General features: G+C 39.5%; 3 long non-coding RNA genes across 6 annotated transcripts in view; 2 read left to right on the plus strand and 1 right to left on the minus strand.

The window, feature by feature from the left end:
* Window positions 1–13,815, plus strand: part of LOC105378737 (uncharacterized) — a 98,091-nt gene extending 84,276 nt beyond the window's left edge. Inside the window, exon 4 of the long non-coding RNA XR_007067029.1 lies at window positions 12,674–13,815. This is a non-coding gene — a long non-coding RNA (uncharacterized LOC105378737). The remainder of the gene's footprint in view (window positions 1–12,673) is intronic.
* LOC105378741 (uncharacterized) overlaps window positions 5,635–25,823 on the minus strand; it is a 74,511-nt gene continuing 54,322 nt past the window's right edge. For 2 of the 4 annotated variants that reach the window (XR_001738064.2, XR_001738063.2), the window contains exon 3: window positions 5,635–11,772. This is a non-coding gene — a long non-coding RNA (uncharacterized LOC105378741). The remainder of the gene's footprint in view (window positions 11,773–25,823) is intronic. The other 2 variants (XR_001738066.2, XR_001738065.2) reach the window with 2 other exon arrangements.
* On the plus strand, window positions 13,834–25,171 carry LOC124904591 (uncharacterized). The gene is made up of 2 exons (XR_007067031.1): window positions 13,834–14,281; window positions 24,956–25,171. It is a non-coding gene; the product is annotated as an uncharacterized LOC124904591 (long non-coding RNA).

Raw genomic sequence — 25,823 nt, forward strand, 5'->3', positions numbered from 1 at the left:
CCCTTTTCTCCTATGCCAAGATATGAGCAAAACTCTCTGCTTGGCTGTCTATAGGAAAGAGAACCATCAACAAAGGTGAATTTGTTTAAAGCTGCATATTCATAAGAATTATCATCATAAAAACTGCCAGAAATATTTTTTAAATCAGATTTATTCAATATTAATTCATTCTCACTAGTGCTATTGAAACTGAAATTTCAGCTTCTATATCTTAGGCTGGTCTATGGCTGTGTGAGAAACAAGAGAAAGAAAATTAAAGCTGACCACTTCTCAATGTGAGCTGTCCAAAACCACAAAGAGGTACTTTGAGTAAGTGGGACAGGACAGGGGCAAGTGGGTCAGCCAGTGCTTCAGTGTCTACTTGTTCTTGTCCAGTGAGCGTGTCAAGATGGGGCTATTAATTTGTAAGTGTCAACTTGATTTTCAAAACTTTGGTGCTGATCTGTTAAGACAGCATGCACCTTCCTTCCCTTCAAAGACCCCTGATGATAAAGACTCCTTGTGTTTCTCTGGAGTCTTAGGAGATCTTCCCTTTCTTTGCTCCTTCAGTGCCACAAACATTTAGCAGGTAGACATGGTCAAATAAAGATTTTGATCTTCATTTTATGTAAGAGGAAGCAGCTTTAAAGACGAGAAGCTTTAAAGACAAATTGAATTTATGTGGCAAGCAAACCACATCACCTTCCATGATCCCTGAGGAAGAAATAGAGGAAAAATCAGCACCTTAAAATACTTAGGAAAATCTCTTAAAAATTGAATAAAATTTGGGCCAGAATGTCTTACTTATGACAAGAGACCAAGAAGTGCAGAAGAGCATGGACCTCTACCTCTTTTCTAACTGGAGGACTAAGATTCACAAAATCTGCCCAGAGCAGTGCACTATCCCGTATTTCAAATATTGTTTTCTTTAATTTGCCGCAGCTTCTACATCAGAACTTGCTGTTTCACCTTGCACTTTTATAGAGATGGCTTCTTTCCTTCTTTCTTGTGGGGTTATTAGAGATGGTTTGAGGAGGCTGCATTTGTCCACTTGCTTATTATTTGTTAAATGCCATTAAGTTCATTTCTGAATTGTTTTAAGGCCATGTGTATATTCAGACTCCATCACTTCTTGGGCCAAGTTGGGAGTGTGGTAAGTACCAACTGAATCACTAATGAGATCCCCTGTGGTTGGTCATGAATAGTGGGAAGAAGAATAAAAATTCACCCTTTTCTTAGACTAAAATAAAACTAGACCTACTTCAAACAGTTAAAAATAAAAACATATCTTACCATGGTGTGTCCTTCTGATTATGTCTTAAAGTAGATAATAATTACCAGCATTTGCATAGCACCTTACAAATTATGGAGTACTTTCAGAGCCACAATTTCAATCAATATAATTGAGAATCTGACCTTCTGAGGGGGTCAAGAAAAACTTCTTTGAAGCAGCAACTTTTGAGCTTGGCCCTGAAGCTAAAACCCATTCCCTTTCTGCTATACCAAGATATTAGCAAAAGTCTCCATTTGGCTGCCTATAGGAGAGGAATCATCAAACATGGGTTTGTTTAAAACCCATTTCATAAGAGTAATCACATAAAAACTTCCAGTAATATTTATTTAAATTAGATTTATTTACTATTTATTTGCTTTCCCATCTCCATTGAAATTAAAATCTCAGCCTATATAGCTTCATCAGAGTGACAATTATAGGCTAGTCTATGGCTGTGTGAAAAGCAAAAGCTGAAACAAATAAGCAAAAAAAAAGAAAGTATATGTTTTGAAAGAGCAAGAATATGGTGTCTAGGGTGATGAGGGGAGACTCCAGAGGGAGTTTAGCCTGATTTTGAGGATATAATAGGCACAGTAGATGCTTTGAGAATATATACAAGCATACCTCAGATATATTGTAGATTCAATATTGAAGTAAATACTTCAATAAAATGGGGAATCACATGGATTTTTGGGTTTCCTAGTGCAGATAAGAGTTAGGTTTATACTATATCATGGTCAATTAAGTGTACAATAATATCATGTGTAAAACAACAATGTACATATCTTACTTTAAAAATACTTTATTTCCAAAAACTGCTAACCATCATCTGAGCCTTCAGCGAGTCATAATCATTTTGCTGTTGGAGAATCTTGCCTTGATGTTGATGGCTTCTGACTAATCAAGGTGGTAGTTGATGAAGGTTGGGGTGGCTGTGGCAACCTCTTAAAATAAGACAACAATGAAGTTTGCTGCTGCAAAAGATTTCTCTGTAGCATGCAATGCTGTTTGATAGCATTTTACCCACACTAGACCTTCTTTAAAAATTGAAGTCAACCCTCTCAAACTCTTAACTAAGTTTATGTAATATTCTAAATCATTTGTTGTCATTTCAACAATGTTCACAGCATCTTCACCAGGAGTAAATTCCATCTTAAGAAAACACTTTCTTTGCCCATCCATAAGAAGCAACTCCTTGTCCATTCAAGTTTTACCAGGAGATTACATTAATTCAGTAACATCTTCAGGCCTTCACTTCTAATTCTTGTGATCTTTCTATTTTCACCATGTCTGCAGTTAATTTCTTCATGGAAGTCTTGAACCCCTCAAAGTCATCCATGAGGATTGGAGTGAATTTCTTCAAAACTCCTGTTAATGATGATATGTTGACTTCCTCTCATGAATCATGAATGTTCTTAATGGAATCTAGAATGACAAATCCATCCCAGAAGGTTTTCAATGGACTTTTCCCAGATCCAACAGAGGAATCACTATCTATGGAAGCTATCAACTTATGAAATTTATTTATTAAATAAGAAGACTTGAAAGTCAAAATTACTCCTTGATCCTTGGACTTCAGAATGGATGTTGTGTTAGCAGGCATGAAAGCAACTTTAATCTCCTTGTACATTTATATATATATATATAATATATATATTTATTATATTTTAAGTTCAAGGGTACATGTGCACAATGTGCAGGTTTGTTACATATGTATACACGTGCCATGTTGGTGTGCTGCACCCATTAACTCGTCATTTACATTAGGTATATCTCCTAATGCTATCCCTCCCCCCTCCCCCCACCCCACAACAGGCCCCAGTGTGTGATGTCCCCCTTCCTGTGTCCAAGTGTTCTCATTGTTCAATTCCCACCTATGAGTGAGAACATGTGGTGTTTGGTTTTTTGTCCTTGCGATAGTTTGCTGAAAATGATGGTTTCCAGCTTCATCCATGTCCCTACAAAGGACATGAACTCATCATTTTTTATGGCTGCATAGTATTCCATGGTGTATACGTGCCACATTTTCTTAATCCAGTCTATCATTGTTGGACATTTGGGTTGGTTCCAAGTCTTTGCTATTGTGAGTAGTGCCTCAATAAACATATGTGTCCAGGTGTCTTTATAGCAGCCTGATTTATATTCCTTTGGGTATATACCCAGTAATGGGATGGCTGGGTCAAATGGTATTTCTAATTCTAGATCCCTGAGGAATTGCCACACTGTGTTCCACAATGGTTGAACCAGTTTACAGTCCCACCAACAGTGTAAAAGTGTTCCTATTTCTCCACATCCGCTCCAGCACCTGTTGGTTCCTGACTTTTAAATGATCGCCATTCTAACTGGTGTGAGATGATATCTCATTGTGGTTTTCATTTGCATTTCTCTGATGGCCAGTGATGATGAGCATTTTTTTCATGTGTCTGTTGGCTGCATAAATGTCTTCTTTTGAGAAGTGTCGTTCATATCCTTCGCCCACTTGTTGATGGAGTTGTTTTTTTCTTGTAAATTTGTTTGAGTTCTTTGTAGATTCTGGATATTAGCCCTTTGTCAGATGAGTAGATTGCAAAAATTTTCTCCTATTCTGTAGGTTGCCTGTTCACTCTGATGGTAGTTTCTTTTGTTGTGCAGAAGCTCTTTAGTTTAACTAGATCCCATTTGTCAATTTTGGCTTTTGTTGCCATTGCTTTTGGTGTTTTAGACATGAAGTCCTTACCCATGCCTATGTCCTGAATGGTATTGCCTAGGTTTTCTTCTAGGGTTTTTACAGTTTTAGGTCTAAATTTTAAGTCTTTAATCCATCTTGAATTAATTTTTTGTAAGGTGTAAGGAAGGGATCCAGTTTCAGCTTTCTACATATGGCTAACCAGTTTTTCCAGCACCATTTGTTAAATAGGGAATCCTTTCCCCATTTCTTGTCTTTGTCAGGTTTGTCAAAGGTCAGATAGTTGTAGATGTGTGGTATTATTTCTGAGGGCTCTGTTCTGTAGTCCCTTTGAAAATTGGCACAAGACAGGGATGCCCTCTTTCACCACTCCTATTCAACATAGTGTTGGAAGTTCTGGCCAGGGCAATCAGGCAGGAGAAAGAGATAAAAGGTACTCAATTAGGAAAAGAGGAAGTCAAATTGTCCCTGTTTGCAGTTAACATGATTGTATATCTAGAAAACCCCATCATCTCAGCCCAAAATCTCCTTAAGCTGATAAGCAACTTCAGCAAAGTCTCAGGACACAAAATCAATGTACAAAAATCACAAGCATTCTTATACACCAATAACAGACAAACAGAGAGAGCCAAATCATGAGTGAACTCCCATTCACAATTGCTTCAAAGAGAATAAAATACCTAGGAATCCAACTTCCAATGGATGTGAAGAACCTCTTCAAGGAGAACTACAAACCACTGCTCAATGAAATAAAAGAGGACACAAACAAATGGAAGTACATTCCATGCTCATGGTTAAGAAGAATCAATATCGTGAAAATGGCCATACTGCCCAAGGTAATTTATAGATTCAATGCCATCCCCATCAAGCTACTGATGACTTTCTTCACAGAATTGGATAAAACTACTTTAACATTCATATGGAACCAAAAAAGAGCACACATTGACAAGACAATCCTAAGCCAAAAGAACAAAGCTGGAGGCATCACGCTACCTGACTTCAAACTATACTACAAGGCTACGGTAACCAAAACAGCATGGTACTGGTACCAAAACAGAGATATAGACCAATGGAACAGAACTGAGCCCTCCTTGTACATTTTTATCAGAGTTCTTGAGTGACCATGTGTATTGTCAATGAACAGTAATCTTTTAAAAGGAATCTTTTTATCTGAGCAGTAGGTCTGAACAGTGGGCTTAAACTATTCAGTGAACCATGCTTAAAAGATGTACTGTCATTTAGGCATTTGTTTTTCCTTTATAGTGCACAGAGTAGATTTAGCATAATTTTGAGGGGCCCTATAATTTTCTGAATGATTAGTGAGCATTGGCTTCAATTTAAAGTCACCAGCTGCATTAGCCCTTAACAAGAGAGTCAGCCTGCCCTTTGAAGCTTTGAAGCCAGGGATTGACTTCTCCTCTCTAGCTATGATAGTCCTACATGGTATCTTCTTCCAATAGAAGGCTATTTCATCTACCTTGAAGATCTGTTATTTAATGTAGCCATCTTCATCAATGTTCCTAGCTAAATCTTCTGAATAACTTGCTGCAGCTTCTACATAAGTACTTGCTGCTTCACCTTCCACTTTTACGTTATGGAAACGGTTTCTTTCCTTAAACCCCATGGACCAATCTCTGCTAGCTTCAAGCTTTCCTTCTGCAGCTTCCTCATCTCTATCAGCCTTCACAGAATTTAAGAAAGTTAGAGCCTTGCTCTGGATTAGGGTTTGGCTTAAGGGAATGTTATGGCTGATTTGATCTTCTATCCAGACCACTGAAACTTCCTTTCTATTAGCAATAATGCTGATTCACTTTCTTATTATTCATGTGTTCACTGAAGTAGCACTTTAAATTTCCTTCAAGCCTGTTTTCTTTGCATTCACAACTTGACTAACTATTTGGCACAAGAAGCCTACTTTCAGCCTTTCTCAGCTTTCAACGTGGCTTCCTCATTGAGCCTAATCATTTCTAGTTTTTGATTTACAGTGAGAGATATGCGACTCTTCCTTTCACTTGAACACTTACAGGCCATTGTAGAGTTATTAACTGGTCTAATATCAATGTTGTTGTGTCTCAGGGAGTATGGGGGCCTGAAGAGAGAAGGAAGAAAACAGAGAGACCATCAGTTTGTGGAGCAGTCAGAAAATACACATTTATCAATTAAGTTTATTTCCTGGCACCCCAAACAATTACAATACTAACATCAAAGATCACTGATCACAGATCACTATAACTCATATAATAATTAAAGAGTTTGAAATATTATAAGAATTACCAAAATGTGACAGAGACATGAAGCAAGCACATGCTGTTGGGAAAACGGTACCAACAGACTTGTTCAATGCAGGGTTGCCACAAACCTTCAATTTGTAAAATATGCAGTATCTGTGAAGTGTAATTGAATGAAGTGCAATAAAACAAGGTGTGCCTGTGTGTATATATTCACTTTGTACACACACACACACATATGTGTATATATATATATGTGTGTGTATATATACATATATATACACACACACACACAATTCAATTTGGATTCAATTGAATATAGGCCACAGTGTTTGTTGCTATTGTACATCATAAATGTTTGTTGAAATATATTTTAAAGCTTCTCTCCTATTTTATTGTCATATGATCTACTTCTTTTGCCATTTCCTTACTGAACACAGACCTCAGCACATGGTAAGTAGTTTGATAAGAACTTGATCAACTAGACTGATTTGACCCCTTCAAATTTTGTTTCCTGAGTTCAAAGGGCTTTACTGTCAACACCACTTAGACAATCCAGGAGCTCACCTTCCCACTGCCAAAAGGGAGAACGTAATATGATGCAGAAAGGTTCCCTACTCTGACAAGTCTGTGGGAGGGTTTGGTTTCATGGCCGGAGACCTAGCAATCAATTAGAGAAAGGGAAATAGTTGCCATTGGAAACCCTGAGGCCCTGTAGCTGTCAGAGGGAGTGAAAGGCTGGAAGCTAATCAGGCATAATGAGCTGACAGTACCATAGATCATGTCAGCTAGCATTCTTATTAATTTCCTGCCCAACAGCCATGCACAGAGGACCAATTCATCCATCAGTCCTTCCCCAGCCTAGGATGTTAAATCACTTGTCAAATCAGGAATGCAGTGATGAAAATTCAGGAGGTGACATAGAGGCAGGAATATCATTCATCATCCCCTAGACCCAACCTTTGGTAGCATCTTACACATACTTCCTTCTGACGGGAAGGACCAGACTCTGAGCATCTGAAACTGTCAAGGGCCAGAAAGAACATCTAATTAAGTATGGCAATAAAGTTCACTCATAGGAGGTGCACCCTAAAGTGAGAAAGATTTTGCAATTATGTCCAGAATAGAAAGAAGTAATTTATTTGCAATGTCTGCCAAGGACACAGCAAAGGATCAGTGTGGCACATGTACCATATTCGTGGTGTCTCTGACTTAGTCCAACCTTTTATTTTTCATATTGTTAAGGTGGGGCCTAAATAGGGTAAGGAGTTTTATTCTTTCATATATTTATTAACCCAATAAATACTAAGTAGGTATTCACTATGTGCCAGTTCTTGAGTGAGGCTCAAAGAAAGAAAAGATAAATTAAGACACAGTCCAGCTCTTAAGGAAAAAACAGTCTAGTAGGAAAGATTGACAAATAAGGGATGATTATTTGAATTAACACCAGTGATATGCACAGGCCACAGCAGGAAGACAAAGGAAAGATATTCTATCCAGCCTAGGGATTCAAGAAACACTTTTTACAGGAGATGATAGTTGAGTGAATTCCTTTAAAATGTATTCAAGGTCGTACAGATAAATAAGCAACAAACCAAAACTATAACATTTGTGTCCTCTTATGTAATCTAGTAAAACAGGAAATTAAATAGGAAAAGTTAGCATTTACATCCTATTTATGACATATTTTCTAAATATAGAAATGGTAGTGTATGTATTGGAGAGAACATGGTTTGTATATGATGTCTGCTTACCAGGTGTGTGACCATAGGCAAGTTCTTCACTCTCTGATCCCCAGTGTCCTTTGAAAATAAGAAAATTTACTAAAAATTGTTGTTGTAAAAATTAAGATACAGTATGTTCAAAGCTTCTAACCCTATGCCTGGAATGTGTACATAAACAATGACTATAAGCTCCGTCCCACATTATTTCACTTTCACCTTTTCAGAAATATTACAGAGTATTCATTTTGCATCAGGCAATATTTGCAGCTGCAGATCAGAAGGTAGCACAGGCCCTTGATCTGTGCTGTTATTGAGGAATGTTCAAAGAAGTGAGTGACCTACTGCCTTGGGGATGATTTGGGATGCTTCACAGAAAAGATGATTTTTGAGCAATTTTCCGGGTAACATTGAGGGATAGGACAGGATATGCTGGCAGAAGAAGTACCTTGAGACAAGACAAAGAAACAAGGAAGAAGTCATGTTTGAAGAACAGTAAGATTAAAGTAGCTGCACCCTAGATTGCACTTGAAGGAAAGACAGGGATGAGAGAAAGAAAATAGAGTTGGTTGTGAAAGCTGATAAATCAGGTGGAGTCTGATTACTTCTTCATTGGGAATGAGCTGCCAAAGGAAAGTTTTAATGTCACCTATCTGGCTCCTTTTAAAAATCCCTGATAAAAATATTGTCTCCTCTTTTAATACATATTTTCTGGCCTCTGCAGTCCATCTTGGCACCTAAAACAGTTTTCTTCTTCCCAAATCTAGGGGAAGTATATTGGGTTAGGATGAGCAGGCATGAGTGCCTCACATAGAGGATATTCTCAAGGATGAGAATTTGGGGTACACCTTGTGATTTGAGGGGGAACTTGAGGGAGACAAAAGATAATTTCATGGTCAGAAAGATAAAAGTTTAACTGGGGATCATTATTATACAAAGAAATAAATACATAACACCGTCATGACCTTGAGGAGAAACATCCGGGTGCAGTTCAGGGCTTAGGCTGTGAACACAAAATGTATAACCCAGGGGACTTTTTATGTGTGTACAGACAAAACAGAGACCTGGAGTGCACTATGTCACTCAAGGAGATGACACATAGGCAGAACCCTGAGGTATCAGAAAGGATTTGCCAAGAAAGAGACAACAGAGGCAAGGAAGGGCATCTCAGGCAAATGGATTGCCACGTGCCAAGGTGCGGAGGTTCCAGAGAGCAGTTTCTCAGTTCCAAAGTGATTTTGCTTTCACTCAGGTTACCTCAGTTGGGGTCACAGATGCTATGATCCTTATTTCAGAGTGAAGGAAGCAAAGGATGAATCAGGTTAGGCAACTCACCCAAAGTCACTCATCTGAGCTGCACAGAAAGGAAGCCAAACCTGGACCGACTGATCAGGGATTCAGATCCTCTCCTCTAGGTTCACCACCTGTGATGGAAAGGTTATTACATCCCTTCTTTTCATCTTTGGGGAGAGCAGTTCCTATTGAGTGAGGAACTAGGAGAGAAAACAACACCATATCAAGCTAATAGTAAAGAATCACTAAGGATATGAGATCAGAGTTGGCAGGCAGCTTCTGAAATGGGGGGATCATTTATGTTAAATTCAAACATGTTGACAATTTAATCCACCTTGAATCAGCCTCACTATTGCAAGACTCACAGCAGCCTGCTATGAATGTTACAGATAATTTCTTTTTGCTAGTTAAAGCTAGTACCCCAAAAAGGGATTGGAACTGGTTGGTAGAAACTTAAGAACTGTTTTTCTTTCTTCCATTCATTCATGCTTTTTAATAAGGAAAAATTGAGTTTCCTCCATGCACCAGTCTCTGTGCTAAGCATTAAGGATATAGAGATAAATCAGACACTTCCTTCATACTGAAGAGCTCACAATCTAATGTGAGAAAAGAAACCAACAAGTACAACCCAATAAGAAACTTGTATAAGGAGTGGAAAGTACATAGACTGAGAGGAGCACAGAAATGAGAGTTACTGACTGGCTGAAGTGGACTAAATCAGGCTTCTGAAAGACATGGTTTTTGAAACAGACTTAGAAAATGACTAGAGATGGCCAGTGGTACAATTTGAGCATCAAAGAAAATCAACAAAATCAATGTCAAAATCCATTGACTAAAATAAGACTACATATGTGAGTCCCTATGGATCTGAGTAAGCAAATGATCGGGAAGGGAAAGCTTTTCCTTACAGTAGAAAGCCAACTAATAAAAGTAAAAAAATATTGTATTTAGAAGATCACCATTTGGTAATTGCTATACTCTCAATGTGTCCTCCAAAATTCATATGCTGAATCTTGATACCAATGTGATAGTATTAAGAGGTGGGGACTTTAGGAGGTGATTAGGCCAGGAGGGCTCTGCTCTCATGGATTGGATTAAGTGCCTTAAAGGGCTGATAGCAACTAACTAGGCCCTTTACCCTTCTGCATTCCACCGCGTGAGGACACAATGTTCATCCTCTCTTGAGGACTTAGCACCAAGGCACCAGGCCCTCACCAGACACTGAATCTGCTGGTGTCTTGATCATGGAATTCCAAGGCCTCCAGAACTGTGAGAAATAAGTGTCTGTTATTTGATCAATTATGTAGTCTGTGTATTTTGTTATAGCAACACAAACTAAGACAGCAGCCATGACAATAATAGATTTAGACAAGAATTATTAATGGATATTAAAACTCCTGGATGAAAGTTTCAGGAGTAACAGGATATGTGCATAGTTTTAAGTTATCTCTTGCAAAGTCACTTATTAATTACAAAGGGGAAAATGTAAACTTCATAGCAGAGAAATCTGGAAGATACCACCTAACCAAGAGATCAAAATTAACATCACCAGTAAGGGGACAATTTCACATCTTGTGCCTCTTGACACAAAGCACTGAGAAGAACACACATCTTTCTGTGACATTTTTGCCAAAAAATAGCATAATCTAAATCTAATCATGAGGAAACAGATAACACCAAATTAAGGAACATTCTGCAAAATAACTGACCTGTCCACTTTAAAAATGTCAATGCCACAAAAGACATAGAAAGATTGAACAAAATTGCTCCAGATTAAATTAAATACATCATTATTTTTAAAATAATAATTGTGATATAAGAACAAGTAGCAGAAACTGGGAGCATTTAGGGCAAACCTAAACTCATGGTCACCTTCCTTAGAGCTGAAAGGTACCTGACCCATTCAGAGAGCCAGCTGTACCTGTGCTGTATACTGCTTGAAGAGCAGCAATTATAATATTTCATTTGATGATCATGACAACTCTGTGAGGTAGTATTTGTAATTCTTGTTTTATAAGTAAGGAAACTGAGGTTCAGAGAGGTTCAAGAACGTACTACTGCTTCCAAAGAGGATGTTTTTTTTTCCAGCATGCCCAACTGGAAGGGCCCCGGGATACATAAGCCAGTGACAGTTGAACTAAGCACACTCAGTAAAAACAGGAGCTGAAGTAGTCATGAGCATCTAAGATATATCCAGAGGCTGAAAAAGCCTAGCAGAAATTACATTTATCTTACAAATAATAAAACGGTTCTATTGCAACAATTGCTACTGGAATGATCACATTGCTTTGGTTTTGGCAGGAGTGCTACCAGTTTAATGAGTCACACCACTTTCTTGTTAGAGGCTCTGAATGACAGCTGTGTATTTCTATGGTTATTAAAACTGAGAAAAACCAATTAATTGTGATAAACACATTGAATCAGTTAGGAGATGATAGATTACACTATGATAGCAAACAACTCCAAAATCTCAGTGCCTTAAAACAGCAGAGGTTTCCGTCGGCTTCTGCTGCACGTCTGCTGAATCAGCTGGGGGATCTGCTCCTCAATGTTTCTTCGCTCCAAGAAACCCAGGCCAATAAAGCAGTTTCTATCTAGAACATTGCCTTCTCCCTGCAGAGGAAAATGAGAACTCTTGAGGACTGCGCACTGGTGATTAAATACTTCTCTTGCAGATCACTGGCCAGATTAAGTCCAGTGACCCAGCATAGCCCTAGGGGGCCTGGCAGTGTGATCCCATCCAGTTATCAGAAGGCGAGAGCATTTGAAATATTTAGTGAAGACCCCTAATGACTACCAAGTTTATGGAGTTTTGTAGATTGTAGTGTCTTCAGCAAATATTTAGCAAAAAAACAGTTTTGTGCCAGGTATGGTACTAAACACTGAAGATAAGACATGGTTCTCTGGTTTCATAAAACTTAGGACTCCTTGAGATTAAAGTTTTACAAAAAATGGTATCTTTGGTGGTAGCAAATTAAAAAGTCCCAGCTCTAGGCCCCTTCTTTTGGAGAAGGGGAAACTAAAGCCCGGAGATGTTCTCAGGATGATCGAGATGGAAGAAGGCTGGTTTCTATACCCCAGCACTTTATTAAAGCAAGTGAGAGAAAGGAGGCTTAAAGCCATCTCTATGTTTACAAAGCTCTCTTGAAAGTTGCATAAATGGGTTAGGGTGTTCTGTTTACATAGAAAGGCTAAGGAATGTAGACAAGGCACCCACTTTGAGTATGGGTATGACAGAGGCCAAAAAGGCCATGAACCCTAAAAAGGGCCAGGAAAGCTATGGTCAGCTGCCCTGACCTGGCACCAGGCCACACATCATGCTGTCTATAGACTCTCCCATGTTAATACTTAGCATGCGAGATGGGCAATTCCCCAGTCTGAAGAAGTGCAGACTTCTCATGAAACAGTTCAAGTGTATGTGGTTAAAAAGCACAAACAAAAACTGTTCATTCAAAGTGTCTAAAAACAAGACTGACTTATATATCAACTTATAGGATGCTTTCTTTGTCCACAGTAAACATCTTGGGAATAGAGCAGTTGACTGGACATCTCTCATGTGCAGCAGCAGCAGGAAAAAGAACTTTGGACTTTATCTGGTTTGCCTTTGATTCTCAGTTCTCTCAGTTACTTGCTAAGCAAATGACATCTCCTTTCTCTGTTTCATATCCCTCATCTGTTAAACAGGGATCATAATACCTAACGTCGTGGGCTTCCAAGACAAATCCTAGGGGAGGAATTCTGCAATGCACCCAGTACTTGCCAAGTATTGTGTCTGGTATTTAGCACAAAAGGAATTTTAGTTTCCTCTACCTCTCACTTTGGGAGCTCAGATAAATTAGTAGCTGTATTTTCCTAGACAAAAGATTCTATTTGTTTATGTGTCCTACACTGCATTAGGCTAAGCTATGGCAAGAAAGAGAAAAAAAAAACTTAAGTGGATTAATACATTTAAAATGTACTTCTTGCACATGTAATACTTCTAGGTGGGTGTTGTCAGGGTCACTCCTCCCCATGCTGGTGGTAGCTTGATATATTTACTCTGTGGCTTCCAAGATTACCCAAGGTGTTGACATCTCAGTGGACTAGAAGAGAGAATGAGCATGGAGGCGCATTTGGGGAGAGTGAGGAGGGCTGAACCTGGAGATGGGATCATTATTCATGCTTCACACTGACTCCCAGAGAACTGAGTTATGTGGTCACAACTCATATAAGGGAAACCGGGAGATCTCATCTTGCTGTATTTTTGCAAATAAAAATTAAAACCTTAGTTTCCCATAAAGAGGCAGCGTAAACATCCGGCAGGGAAGAATGGAATTTTGGGGACAGTTAGCAGTCTTGATTATTAATTAAGAGCAAATAGTTCTTCCCTTGTAGCGTTCATCACCATCCCTCAAAAACACAAGTAATAGAAAAAGCTGAGATAGAGTTACCCTGGGAGAATCCAAGAATAACTTTGGTAAGGTAAGTGTATATAAATTGAAAGAAAACACTCGACTGCTATTCTAATCATTCTTGTAATCAACATTTATTTAATTTTTATTAGGCATCACTTGGTGGGGATACAAAGATGGAAAGAGGAAGGCAATGTATGTATGCTAGGAGGATCAGAAGACAACCATAGTTAGCTAAGAGGTCATGATTTAGCAACAAATGAAACCAGACTTGTCTAACAAATTTCTCATCAACAAACATTGTACAAAAAAAAGTACTGAATAAAAGTATTGCCTATGTTGTTGTTCACACCTATGTATTTACTAGAATGTCTGAGAGGGCTGTACTGTATATATGACTTTAAATTTTAGTTGATTTATTTATTAACCTTGAAAAGAGTAAGTACTTCTTAGTGAAAGCAATTCTTACAGCTTTGTTTTCAACCAACTAAAAATGATATCACTCTTACATATTGTCCTCCATATTCTGAGGTCTTAAATGTACTTTTTTCTGATTTGTATTTATGTCCTGAGACAGAGATTTTTGGAAAAGAAAATAAACCTACAGTTAAAAGAAAAAAGAAAACAATGAAAATAGAAGCTGAGCTTAGCTGAGGATATGAATAACGAAAAGCAACCACCTTACCGCAAAACAACTCTAAGAAGTAGGATTATCATCACTCAATTTACAGGTAAATAATTTAACAACAGATTATAATATAGCAAACTCTTTCTTAGTATTAACTAATCATGAAACATTGTTCTAAATGATTATCTATCTACCTATCATTTATCTATCCATTTATTATCTATCTACCTATCATCTATCCATTTATTACCTATCTATCTATCTATCTTCTATTCATCTGTCTACCTCTCTCTTTCTTATGTAATCCTTGTAGCAAACAATGAGAGTTGCCTATCCTAAGTATGAGGAAACTGAGGTAGAGCAAGGTCATAACATGTTCAAGTTCACAGAATTAGTAAGTAGTAAAGTTAGGATTTGAAGCCAGACACTCAGGATCCATTTTCCATGCTCTTAACCATCATGCCATACTGACTAAACTATTTAAATTCATGCCCAAGGTCACATTTCAAGGGGGTAGCAGGAACAGGATGGAACCCTGGTGTGTGTGACTATGAAGCACTCACTTTGTCTTCTGCTCCATACTGTCTCTCAGTAGGTCTGAGATACAGAGTCAAGAGGGGAGAGGGCGTTGTAGGTGAGGGGTCCAATTCAGCAAGTACTGAGGGAAGACAGAAAAAGCCCCCAAAACATATGCCCTTGCGTGTTCCAGCCTCCAGTGTCTAAATGCCAGTGGCTAATCTTGTAACTCAGTGGAAATTCTTCTTTGGTTACACAGGCCACAGCCCCTGGTCCAAGATACATACATACCGTCAATGTGTTTATTCACCTGAAGGGAGGCTTCCCTCAAGTTGGTGCCTGAGTTGTCCCAGCAACATGAAAAGACAAGGCAAGCCTTGAGACAATCCAGAGGCCAAGAAAAGGGTAGCTGGCTGTGAAAGCAGGCAGTCCAGAGCAATCCTGGCACCACGGTAGATCCCAAAAGCATTTGAGCCAGAAGGGGCCTAATGGCTCACCCAGAGGTGAAGAAACTGAGAGCTTCAGGACAGTGCCAGTCACTCTGTTAAAGGCTTTAATGAGGTTATATCATTAATTTCTAACAAAATCCCAATAAGAAGTGATTCCCATTTATAGATAGGAAAATGAGGCTTCAAAGATACGATATGGCTTACCTGGGGTAGAACTAGGATTCAAGCCCAGAAATGCCTAATTCCAGGGCCTATGTTCTTAGTGGCAAAGCCATTTTCCCCAAGGCAAGTCACTTGCCCACCAACTACATAGCTATCCAAGTGACAGCCAGAACCAGCGTCCTGTGCCCTCTGCCTTCCAAGGACCCCAGATTTCCCTGGCTATCAAGTAGCCAGACCATCACCCACATAGAGATCAGCCATGTATTTCATCAGTACCTCTTAACATTCTGCCCTTCATTGCCCTGGAATGGGTCTTGTTCAAACTTCCCTTCCACAGCTCAACAAATAAGCAAACAAAAATAAAAAGCTTAGCTTTCCATGAAAAGGCAGTATAAACATCTGGCAGGCTTGCTGGGTCTTGGCTTCCTCTGCCTCGGTTTAAGTGCTCAACTTGAGTGTATTTGGGTTTCAACAGAGGAGGCTTTGCTAGACATTACTCACCCCCCTGCAAAAGCAAAAACTTAGTGATAGAAATACAAGTGCTCTTGTTTGTTGACCAAAAGCTAAACAAATCATTTGAGGTTTTGGGTTAAAAAAATCTTTCAAAAATGTAGTTCCCACATATTCAGTTGGGATATGTGTAAGTGTATATGTGTGTTTGCTTAAATCTTGTCTGAAATAAGATGGGGTATAAATATAAATATGTGCAAATAACTTAAATAAATTTTAAAAAACTCATTTTTTTCAGTTTTATGAATTGAAATGGGCCAAAATTAATCTCAAATATGGGCCAGCCTTTGACAAAATCCTCCAGTTGGTTAAATTTTTTTATACCATCTGGGTAAGTTTGGGAGTGAGTTAAGCCCTCTGGGCTCTAATTCCTCATCTATAAAATGAGGATAATATTAGGATAATATAAAATTGACTGTGGTGAGGATGGATTTAGAAAATTCTGTGAAAGCCTTATAAACTGCAGAGTCTTTCATACAGACAAAAGGCTGTGTTTACTGCTATTTTCTCTGGCAGGCACAGGTCTTGTAGTGGCAAATTCTCCTCCATGATTTACCAACGCAGTTGCTCTCATGCTGCTCCTTGGCTGCCCAAGGACCCCAGGAAGCGTCTTCTCCATTGGCAGTCCCATCTCCCCAATAAACACCAAAACTTTTGCAAGAAATAGGTGTCAGGTGGATTTGGTTGTAGATGGGGGAGAAAAGAAAACTAAGATAGCCAGATTCAAGAAAGCACAATTTAAATAGCCACTCATAATACTAACCAGGTTAATTCCTCCCTCCAAGAAAGAAGACAAAAGAGGAAGTCCTTTCTAAGCAGCAGAGCAGAACACTCATCTTTCCAGAAGGGCATGGTAAGAGGAAGTGCAGAGTAGGCAGTTATATAACAGGCCTAACAGGTAGCACAGGCAGGAAGGAGGATGGGTATGAGCAAGACTGAGAGAGGTTCATCAGTGCTGGATTTTCTAACAGCAGTGAACTAAACCCATGCTTAGGACATTGGCAAAGGAGGAATGGCTAATAAGTAATTTGATTTTATTTTCAAATTACATATGTGGGAGGGAAATCATGATGCTTTCAGTGCTGTGGACATATAAAGACCCTGGTCCTGATCCAGGAGGCACTTGGGTACCGAGTGTCAACAAGAGCCCCTAAGAGAAGATAGGGTGAAGCCCCCATGGCCCTGCCACCTGATGTGTCACAGCAGAGAGGCATTGAGTATGGGAAACACCATGCTTAGGAACATGGGGCAAAAAGAAGTGGAGGGACAGCTCAATAGAAGGGACTATATACAAATCACATAGCCAGACAGGGCTAGCAGGTACAGCAGGTTCTAGAAACCCTGAGAATCAAGAGCAACAGGGCATAAGTGCCTCAGGAGCCTAGGTCTTAAAAGGCTGCAGCTCCAGAAACAACACAGACAGAAAAATTGATCCAAAACATGGAGGGGAACATCAGGAAGATATTCTGGACACAGGACTGGCAAGAAACAGGAATGGTGATGGCAAGCTTGGCTGGGATTGAGGGTGGTATTTGCCCTATCCCTCCATGAAGCCCTGAGTAGGTAGAGAAACTCTTGTTATCCATATCTCAGAGCCTCCAGTCAGAGAAACCAGGGCACTGTTCTGACGCATGGGCGTCTTTCGTCATTGAACTTGAGGGGAAGAGGGAGTGGCAGTTGCACAGAAGGGCCTGGATTGGGAAAGGTCAGAAAATGAACACATGCCAGGTTAAAAGCCAGTGACGGAGACTGGAAGAGCAGAAGACAGAGCCAGAGGACCTAGTGCTACATTGATGCTGGGATGGACAGGGAAACAAGGTCAAAGGTGGGGGCAGAGTAAGGGGGTTTTAAATGCTTTTTAATGACACAGCTATCAGACTAGTTAAAAAGCCCAGATCCGTATGAATTCCAAGCAAAAATATACCCTGCGCAAGTGCAGACCACCTAGACTTGGCCTTCTGCCTGATAAAATTGTTGGAATTCTCCAAGGAATAGCAAAGTCAGATTGTGATGAGGGGGCAGAGGTGAGAGCAGATAATAGATGAGAAAGAAAAGTGTTATTGTCTTAACAGGTAGCACAGAAAAGACATTCTTTCCCCCTATAAAGAATCTTTGTTTATTAAAATTCTTTAAAGCAGCTTGAAATGAAATCATCACTTTGAGATATGCATTGGCATGAGCTAAGGTCACCAAAAGAGATAAATAATGTATAATACATCCAAAATTAATAGTGGTTTGGGGGTACTGGAAAGACAGAAGTTTGGGGAGAAGAAGGAGAAATGAAGAACAATTAGTGAAATGGCATGAGACTAGGCCACTGTACAACATGAAGAGAAAAGTGAAAGCTCCTCACTGCCAAGGTTGCCGAAAGATGTTTAGGAACAATGAAGCTTTGTATCAGTAAGATATTGCTGCATAACTAATGACCTCAAAACTCAAAACAACAATAAGCAAGTATTTCTTGTTCACGCGTCTGTGGGTCAGCTGAAAGTTGGCTGGCCTAGGCTGCGTATGGCTCCAGGCCATGTGTCTGTTCCAGGTCTATGACACAAGGCTGTCATCCTTCTGGGATGAATGGGCTACATAGTGCACACTTTTCTCTTGGAAATAACAGAATTACAATAATAGGAGCCCTCCTTGAAAGCACATTTTAAACCTCTGCCTATGTTCCCTCTAATAATAATCTTTGGTCAAAGCAACTCACATGACCAAGCCCACCATCAATGGAGTGAGCAAGTAAACTCCTCTGATGGAGGAGGGCTGGTAGTAAGAGTGGATATTTGCTAAACAACGATCTGATCTACCACAAGCCTTATGCTAAATTTAAAATTATTTGCATTGCTGCAATGTAAATTCCTTCTCTGACCACTCTCTCAATCTTTAGTAAATGTACCACAAATACAAATTTTTTGAGCTGCTTTTCTAGAGAAATCAAGGCAGAGGATTGACATGATGCAGAACAGAGACAGTAGATGAAAGTAAGTGATCCACAAGACAGAAGGCAAAATCAGAGGTGGCCATGAGTACCTAAGCCTCCAAAAATCATAGGCATATTGGGAAAATCAGAGAAATAAGGGCCAGAACCAATCTTGTTTAGACCTCAAGGAGAGCTCATCTGCCAGCTATGTTACTTAAGACTATTGGTAATGGCCATTGGTAAGTGAGGCTAGACTGCCTTTCCATTGTCTGACAGGAAGCTATGGCGGAGCAGGACAGGCCATAGAAGCCTCAGGGCTCATTCTGAACAGCAGGGAGGAGGAGGTCATCAACCAAGTCCAGTTAGGAAATTTGGTCCAGAGGGATCCAGAGGCTTGTATCTGAGTATAAGGTGAGGATTTTTTTTCCTAAGAGTAAAGTTAAAACAACAACAACAACAACAACAAACCCTAGTCTTTAGAGAGGAGGTGTACTGCCATTGCAGAATTATCAGTTAGACTACTTGAAGTTTAGTCACTATACTCACTTAACTAGGGCACTTCAAATTATTCCTGAAGTAGAAAGTATTGAGTATTAACCTTCAGAATAAGGGAGACATAGAAGGCAAGAATTACCATGTTGAAAACTTGCTCAATATCCGGAAGTACATACACTATTATCTGATTAGTCCCCACATGACCTCCTCTCCTCAGAGATAGGAATTATTATTCCCACTCTATGAACAAGAAAATGAGATCATAGTGGCTGGCCTTTTTCAATGGAAAAGGCAAAGCCAAACATGTAAGGTGGTGGTTGTGAAACCATACAGCTGCAGCAAGAAGAGAAGCATGGTACAAAAGAATGGTTGCTGCATACAACCCTTGTTGGATACATTTATGAGGATTCTTGTCATGCTTGTCAATCCTAGATGAGTTTTTATGACTATGACTCATACGATGTTCTGTGACCTCAAGGGCTTTACAATTGCAAAGCGGATAATCTAATCTCTTTGGTTTGAATGAAGAAAACATACCTAAATTATGCATTAATCTCACCCTTCACCTATGTTTATAGCGTCTTCATCCAGTCTATTTCTATTGCCAGAAAAGGAGACAAGAGCTGGGACAGGGTAGGGAAGTAACATTTAATAAATGTTATGTTGTGTCATCTGTGTATAAATCAGTACATAAAAATGCTTGATAATAAAGAATATATGAGCACCTCTATAGCATGACACTACTGCAGGTCAGTAGACTTAGGAAGACAGTTACAGTCATAAGAAAATTATAGATATTCAGTTTTCTCCCTTGGACAAATACTTTGACCACTTATAAATCTTAACTATCTTAGTGGATAAATACCGTATTCACTTTCAAATGCATATTTCAGCCCCCTTCTCAGAGCCTTCTTGGAGTCGGCTAACTTAGGAATGTAAGTCTTTCCTCTCTCTCCACTAATGAATATGAGATCTGTCCCTTTCCTGTATTCCATTAGACCCTTACTCTCAGATGGGGGAGAACTAGTAGATCTTAGTTGGTATTTGTGTACAACTGAAAAACAGTGATTTCGAGGTGTTAAGGGATGAGAGTGGCTGGGCTATGAACTAGTGAACAGCCTCATCCTTCTCTGTGATGTAGTTTTTGAAATGATGAGGCCATGTTAAATGGTCAGTCCGTAGCAGAATTTCTACTGCCTAGGAAATAGTTACACACTCTGCTATATCGCTATCATTTACTTTTCATTCTTTCTTAGAAATTCAGTCTCTCTGCCTACATTTCCCATCTGTTCTTGCATACTCTCTGCTGTATCTACTAGAGCCCCTAGCACGTTAGTCATAATTGTTTTAAATTCCCACTCTGATTAAGTCCAACATTCCTGACATATTTGAGTCTCATCCTCATTCATTATTGGTTTGACAAACCTAACATAAAATCACCACATGAGATAAAATGTGTGAAAGCAAAGAACACATAGGACAGTCTCAACAAAACCATGTTTAACTGAATAACCTCCAAATCACCTTCACAGCAGACCATAAGATGAGAAGTTTGATTTGTTTGTTTGTGTCTTTTTCTATCAAGGAACCTATGTAATAAGGTTAATTAGGAAACAAGTTTTCCTAATAAAGCCTATCTTCTCTCGGAGTCTGAATTCCATGGTGCTCTACAGTGTCCTTTGCTTTACCTCTTAATACATTTTTATAAGGAAACACTCATACAACTCTGCAGGGCTTTGACACTTTGCAGTGGATTTGAGGGCAGAGGAACCCATGGGCTGAGACCCTGTTTTTGAAGCAGGATGGAGGATGGTGATGGGATTGGGTAATGGAAGCTATTTATTTACCACCAGCTGCCTCCAGCTGTGACACCCCGCTAGGTTATGGAATAAAGCACAGTAAATAAACACCCCGAGGAGACACCCTGAAGCACAGCACACATGGAAATCCATCTCCTCACAAATCCTAGAAAAATATGTACTCAGTGCTGAGCACGTCCAAAATAAACCATCCCAAGCCAATGATTTGGAATGATTTCCATGTTTCTGTCCTGGGAGTGATTTGGAGGAATAAACCAGGATGGCTAGGGTAATTGCTCTGAGCAGGTACATTGTCCTTCACCTCTTCTTGAAGGGCTAACTCCTATTCATCCTTCAAGTCTCAGCATAGGGATCACCTCTATGGAGACATCTTCCCTGACATCTGTGACCACGTTGCTTCCCCAAGGCTTCCACAGCCCTGGGCTTCCCCTGTCACAGAACTCATCACATTATATTAAAATTACCATATATTGCATCTGTCTCTCCAACTAGACTGTAGGGTTCACTGGAGTCATGAACCATATTCTAATCATCTTTATATCCTCAGCACTTAGTACAATAACTGCTCGTAGCTGCTCCACCAATGTTTATGGAGCTGAGCTCATTCTGCTTGCAAACGTCATTATTTGTTGTTTCTTAATTTCCACAAAGAAGAAGGAGAAAAGGAAAAAGGAGAAGGAAAAGAGGAGAAAGAAAAGAGCTGGAGAAGACCTTAACCATTAGCACGAGTCTATGGACCAAAGGCATGAAATATCACTCCCTTTATCCTGCCCCTTCCTGCTTCTTAGCAAGAATGATTGTATTCAATTTCTCCCTTCTCTGTCTTTCCTTTTGTAGTCTCTCTCCTTGAATCCCATGAAGAAAACATAAGCAATTTGGCAGTACACAGTTAGAAAATCCCAATCTCATCTCACCTCTTTGTTTTATAAATGAGGAAACTGAGTCTCAAGACATCATCATGAGCCCACTTCTACATTTACTTGTCATTCTCTCTACCCATTTAATCATTGTTTCTAAGCTCACTCTTACCCTTCACCCATGAAGAGCTCATTCCCACCTCTCACCTTCACCCTTAGCTCCATTCCATCCACAACGAGGAATGTTGATCTAGATCTTGACAGTCTAAATTATTGTGTTCGACACACTCATAAAGCTTTCAGAAAGGTCAAAATGTGAAATGCTTATGATTCTGATACTTGCTGGATTATATGTCTTTTCCCTTGCATGTTGTAAGTCCGATCCAAAGAGAACTTGTCTTCCCATCACACTCTGACTGAGGTGATCAAAATCAGTTTACAAGAAACATATACTTTCCAATAATGATAAAAGATTAGCAAGAGAGTCATTTTTGTTGAACTCTGCTAAGCAGTCTGCTCTCAGCTAGATGTTTTGCATCTAGGATCTCATTTCATTACCAGAAAAACTGCAAGACAAATTTATCCCATTTTATAGATGAGAAAGCTGAGGTTTAAAATGTTATAGTTAGTATGTAGATGAGCCCTAGATTCAAACCCAGTTCTCTGGTTTCAAAGCATACATTTTCCCTGCTATTCAATGAAGACATTTATGATAGGTCATTGGATGGGGTCTAAAAAGAAAAAACAAAACTAAACTAAACCCCCCAAAATGAAGACATTTAATTGAAGGAAAAAGTCCTGTTTAGAGGCAGCATCTAATCTCTTCACCTCTTTCTTAAAGCTGTCTTCTTCCCCTCCTCTACCCCTCCAAGATGTCTCTAGAAAAGGTTGATTGCTATTCAGGGTGGTAGGATGCCCCAGACCACAGAGGCATAGAGCAGAAGTCAGGCATCAGAAATTAGGAGGGTGGTCGAGGAATAAGATCCAGGAATATGGGAAGGAGTTGTAAGAATATCGAATCCAGCTCATTCTGTAAATGTAGCGTGTTTTCTTCCCACCCCCCAGCAGTCAGGAAAGCCTTTAATGGGCTTCCACCTAGCACTTCAGCTGTTGCCCAGCAGCATCTTAAAGGCACCACTAAACACTTGCCATGGTGCTCTCATCAGGCTTTGAAGGATTGCCCTGTGGGCTCCACAATTGTTATTGAAGCTGCAAGAACTCAGTTACTTCCTGGAAATTGCAGGTTCAGCCATAGCGAAGTAACCATTTTAGCCAAACCAAATAAATTCAGAAACAGTACTCCCACTAACCCCAAACAGCATTCTCACTAACCCGAAACTCTCCCGGCTTTAAAGCAGAGAATAGAGACTCAGCAAGGCCACTTTATAATTTCTCAGATACTTTCTTTTCAAGTCCAGACTCATGCTCAATTTTTATTCTTTGATTTTACTTTTTCAGAGCAATAAATTAGTAGTTTTAAATTAGTGGTTCATTCTAAGACTAGAGGGCAGAGTTCAACAATGATTCAGCAGAGAGGGTTATTCCAACAACTTGGCACAAGGAGTATTGTACCAGGTGACTTCTCATTCATTTCTTCATTTATCCTCACAACAGCCAATTGGGTACAATTTCCCTCTCATATTTTAGATGAGAGTTTAATTACACCACCCAATGTCATACAACTGAGAAGATGCTGTGTAGAATTCAACTTTTATTCATATCACTAATTCACAACAACATCTCAACCTAAAGAAGAAGAACTACACAACAGTGGCCAGTTTCAGGACGTAACAAAATGCCTGTCATTGGCACTGAGATATGAAACAGCAGAGGATGCATGAATCAGTGCACTTTAAATAAGAAATTTAGGGGTGAGTAATAGGAGAGAGATCTGGACAGGAAGTCAGGGCCAGATCATTAAAAGCCATACTAAGGCAAATTGGGCACTAGGCAGTGAAGGAATATTTGAATAGATTTAAGTAATTAGTTCATAATTTTTCAATGAATATTTTGTGTAATACCAACTATATGTTAAGTCCTAGGGACAAAACTATAAACAAAACAGGTGTTTCCTGCCTTCACTGGATCCACAGTCCAAGAGAAATGAGTGTCATTTCCATGTAGTGTGAAAAATGCTCTGATGGGGGATGAATGGGGTCTTGGAAGAGTATTAGGAGGAGTAAGGAAGGGACAGATTCCCAAGGGAAGTCATGCCTAAGCCAAGATTTGATGGAGGGTGAGTGTGGGGAAGGAGGTAGTGAAGGAGATTGTTACAGGCAGTGGAAAGAGCAGGAGCAAGGCCAGAGATGAAAGTATGGTGCTTTAGAATAATAGGACTTTGGGAGAGGGCTGGTGGGCTTGATGAGAGATGGAGCTGGAAGGGTAGCAGGGGCTATATCAAGAAGCCAGGGAGTGTTATCAGCAGTTTTTGTTTTAGAAAATCACTGTGAGTGTAGTGACAGCTGGATACGAAAAAACCATGAAAACAAACTTAAGATTCTCCATCTTTGAAAATACCATGAGTATATGGTTCAATAAATTGATGGAACCTCAGGAAGCAAATTTTGTCATTGCTCCCTATCAGTTAGGATGCTTTCAGCTGCACGCAATAGAAACTCAGACTGGCTTAAAGAATAAGGAAATGCAATAGCTCTAGGAGGAGCTCTAGGAACTCAGAAGGCATAGCACAATCAGTGGCTCAATAGTATAATCAAGCATTTTGGCTTTTTCCATCTCTGCATTCAGCCATCCAAAACACTGGCCTCATCCTAAAGCTGGTCCCCCTTGAGAATGTAACATGGATGCCAATATCAATTGGGACTAGATGCTTCTTTGTTGTCATCACTGAGAAAGAGAAGGAAAAGTATTTTCCTCAATAATGGAATATAAGTCTTTTCCTTTATCTTTATTACAGGTCACTACTAAATCACTGACCATGGGGGAAATGTCACTTGTTTATTGGCTTAGATTAATTGAGATTTATCTTTAGAACTAGGAATGGTATCAATCTTTCCTGTGTCTCCTTCCTAACACTACCATGGTTTTCTTCAGGCATCCATGTCCTCCAGGATATAAAGGAAGAAGTTGAGGGATGGATGCAGAGTATACTATTCTCCACCATTACAAATTGGGCACCTTTGCTTTTGAATGAGTGACCACAGCCCTGGAAACTTGTATGCTTTGCTAATTGAGGGCAGATGAGCCTCAGGTCAATCCCCCATCAATTATCCACTCAACAACAATAAAATGCTAACTTGTATGCCCTAACCCAGTTTGTTTAATTATTTGGAAGTGATTTTGTATCTAAACAACCCACACACTGGACATAAGCAATCCTGGATAAAATAGAAGTTTATTAAACTCATCTTCATATTTACATAAATTATTTTTTAAAAAGACACCATCTAGGCCAAGACCAGTTTTATTTTTCCCTTCAAAGAATAATGTTGAGGATCAATTTCTCCAGCTTAACATCACCAGCCTTGGCAGCAGCTCATATTTGGAATATAAATGATGTCATCTGGTTGGCCTTTTCCCATCACAAACAGTAAATCTCTAAATCTGGAGAGATCTTTTATTTGGTTACACATATTGTACAGCATCAAGGGGTTAGAACACATGTGCTAGAGATTATTAAAATCATCTGGAGGAGAATGGCTTATTATTGGAAAGCCCAGAACTTATGACCCTTTCATGCCTGGTGTCTCCATCAACTCTTCTTTCGCTCCTACCTTTTCAAAGAAATAATTGTGGCCGATTGGCCCATGATTATTTGCATACTAAGGTTTTTCTGGTGCACCATGCCTCTTCTCTGGAAAAAGATATCCCTAGCAGAGTATAGAGAAAGGGGAACAGGATTAGGAATCAGAAAGCCAGTCACAGCAACATGCCAAAATATGACTTTGGGTAACACATTTGA

The sequence above is a fragment of the Homo sapiens genome, chromosome 1, assembly GCF_000001405.40.
Source record: "Homo sapiens chromosome 1, GRCh38.p14 Primary Assembly".
Classification (NCBI taxonomy): Eukaryota; Metazoa; Chordata; class Mammalia; order Primates; family Hominidae; genus Homo; species Homo sapiens.